Genomic DNA, 1,254 nt, shown 5'->3' on the forward strand with positions numbered 1-1,254 from the left:
GTTTACTAGAAATGTAATATTTATTTTTAGCACATCTTTTTAGATAATTTTCCTTTCACTCAAAGTTATGCACAATTTAAAATTTTTTTGTTTTATTTTAAACAAAGTAGTTTTACAAATACATTGACATCAGATAAATGTATCTCAACCCTGATTTATTAAATATAATATGATAGGAAGTAATATGTAAAATTACCTAACTCCTAAATCTTTATGAATTATGGCAGCACAAATTAGTGATACTACTGATAGGGATACGAGGCAGAGAAATTCTAGTTAGAAAAGGGTGGGTCCCCAAAAAATCCCACACTCAAGCCAAAAAGCCTGAAACTGTGCCAAAAGTGAGAACTTGTATCCCTGCTTTCTTGCTCAAATGTTGCCTTTTCTTAAACTACCCATGGCCTGCCCCACCCCCATCCTGTGCCTGTAAAGACCCCAGACCCAGCTTGCAGACAGGAGAAGCAGCTGGATGTCAGAGAGAAGCAGCTTGACTTCAGAGGAACAGCTTGATGGTGTAACTTAAGAGAATCTCCAGGGGAGGATTACCTACCCACCCCCCCATCACATTTTCAGCATCCCTTCCCACTGAAAGCCACTTGGAAATAAATTCTTCAGCATTTACCATCCTTCACTTCGTTCCTGTGACCTCATTTATCCTGGATGCCGGACAAGAGCTCAGGAGCCAGAAGTGAGGATACAAAAGGCTGTCACACTGGCCCTTTGCCCTCACTGGTGGAGGGCAGCTATCTCACACAAAAGGGCGGAGGGCCCACTGAGCTGTTAACACTTAAGCCGTCTGTGGACAGCAGAGCTAAAAGATCACTGTAACACGCCCCTTGGGGCTTTTGGAGTCGCAGGCATCCTGACTGGACGCTGCTGTGGGTCCTGCACGGAGTTTGCTCCTGCTGGAGACCAAAAGTGCTTGTTCCGGAGCCCAAAAGTGCTTGTTCCGGCTCCTGCACCCGCTCACCTGTGCGCTCCCTTCCATGACGGGTGGAACGCAGAGGTCTGCATGAAAGGAGTTTGATCCCACCAGTGCCTAAGCGGCCAGCTGGTTCCAACACTCCAGTTCCCTTCCGCCAGGAGTTGACAGTGGCAGGCTGAGTAAACAAGGCACCCCTGTCATGAGTCCAGCAAAGGGATCAAGGAAATACTTTGCTTCACTACATTTTTTTTTTTTTTTAGACGGAGTCTTGCTCTGTCACACAGGCTGGTGTGCAGTGGCGTGATCTTGGCTCACCGCACCCTCCACCT

General features: G+C 46.5%; 1 annotated feature.

The window, feature by feature from the left end:
* Nucleotides 397-897: an enhancer, noted in NCBI's record as "H3K4me1 hESC enhancer chr18:62387844-62388344 (GRCh37/hg19 assembly coordinates)". NCBI's record gives its function as "activates a minimal SCP1, AML or CMV promoter by ChIP-STARR-seq in primed H9 embryonic stem cells {active_cell/tissue: H9 hESC(primed)}" and the evidence as "EXISTENCE:reporter gene assay evidence [ECO:0000049][PMID:30033119]".

This window comes from Homo sapiens, chromosome 18 (genome assembly GCF_000001405.40).
Source record: "Homo sapiens chromosome 18, GRCh38.p14 Primary Assembly".
Lineage (NCBI taxonomy): Eukaryota > Metazoa > Chordata > Mammalia > Primates > Hominidae > Homo > Homo sapiens.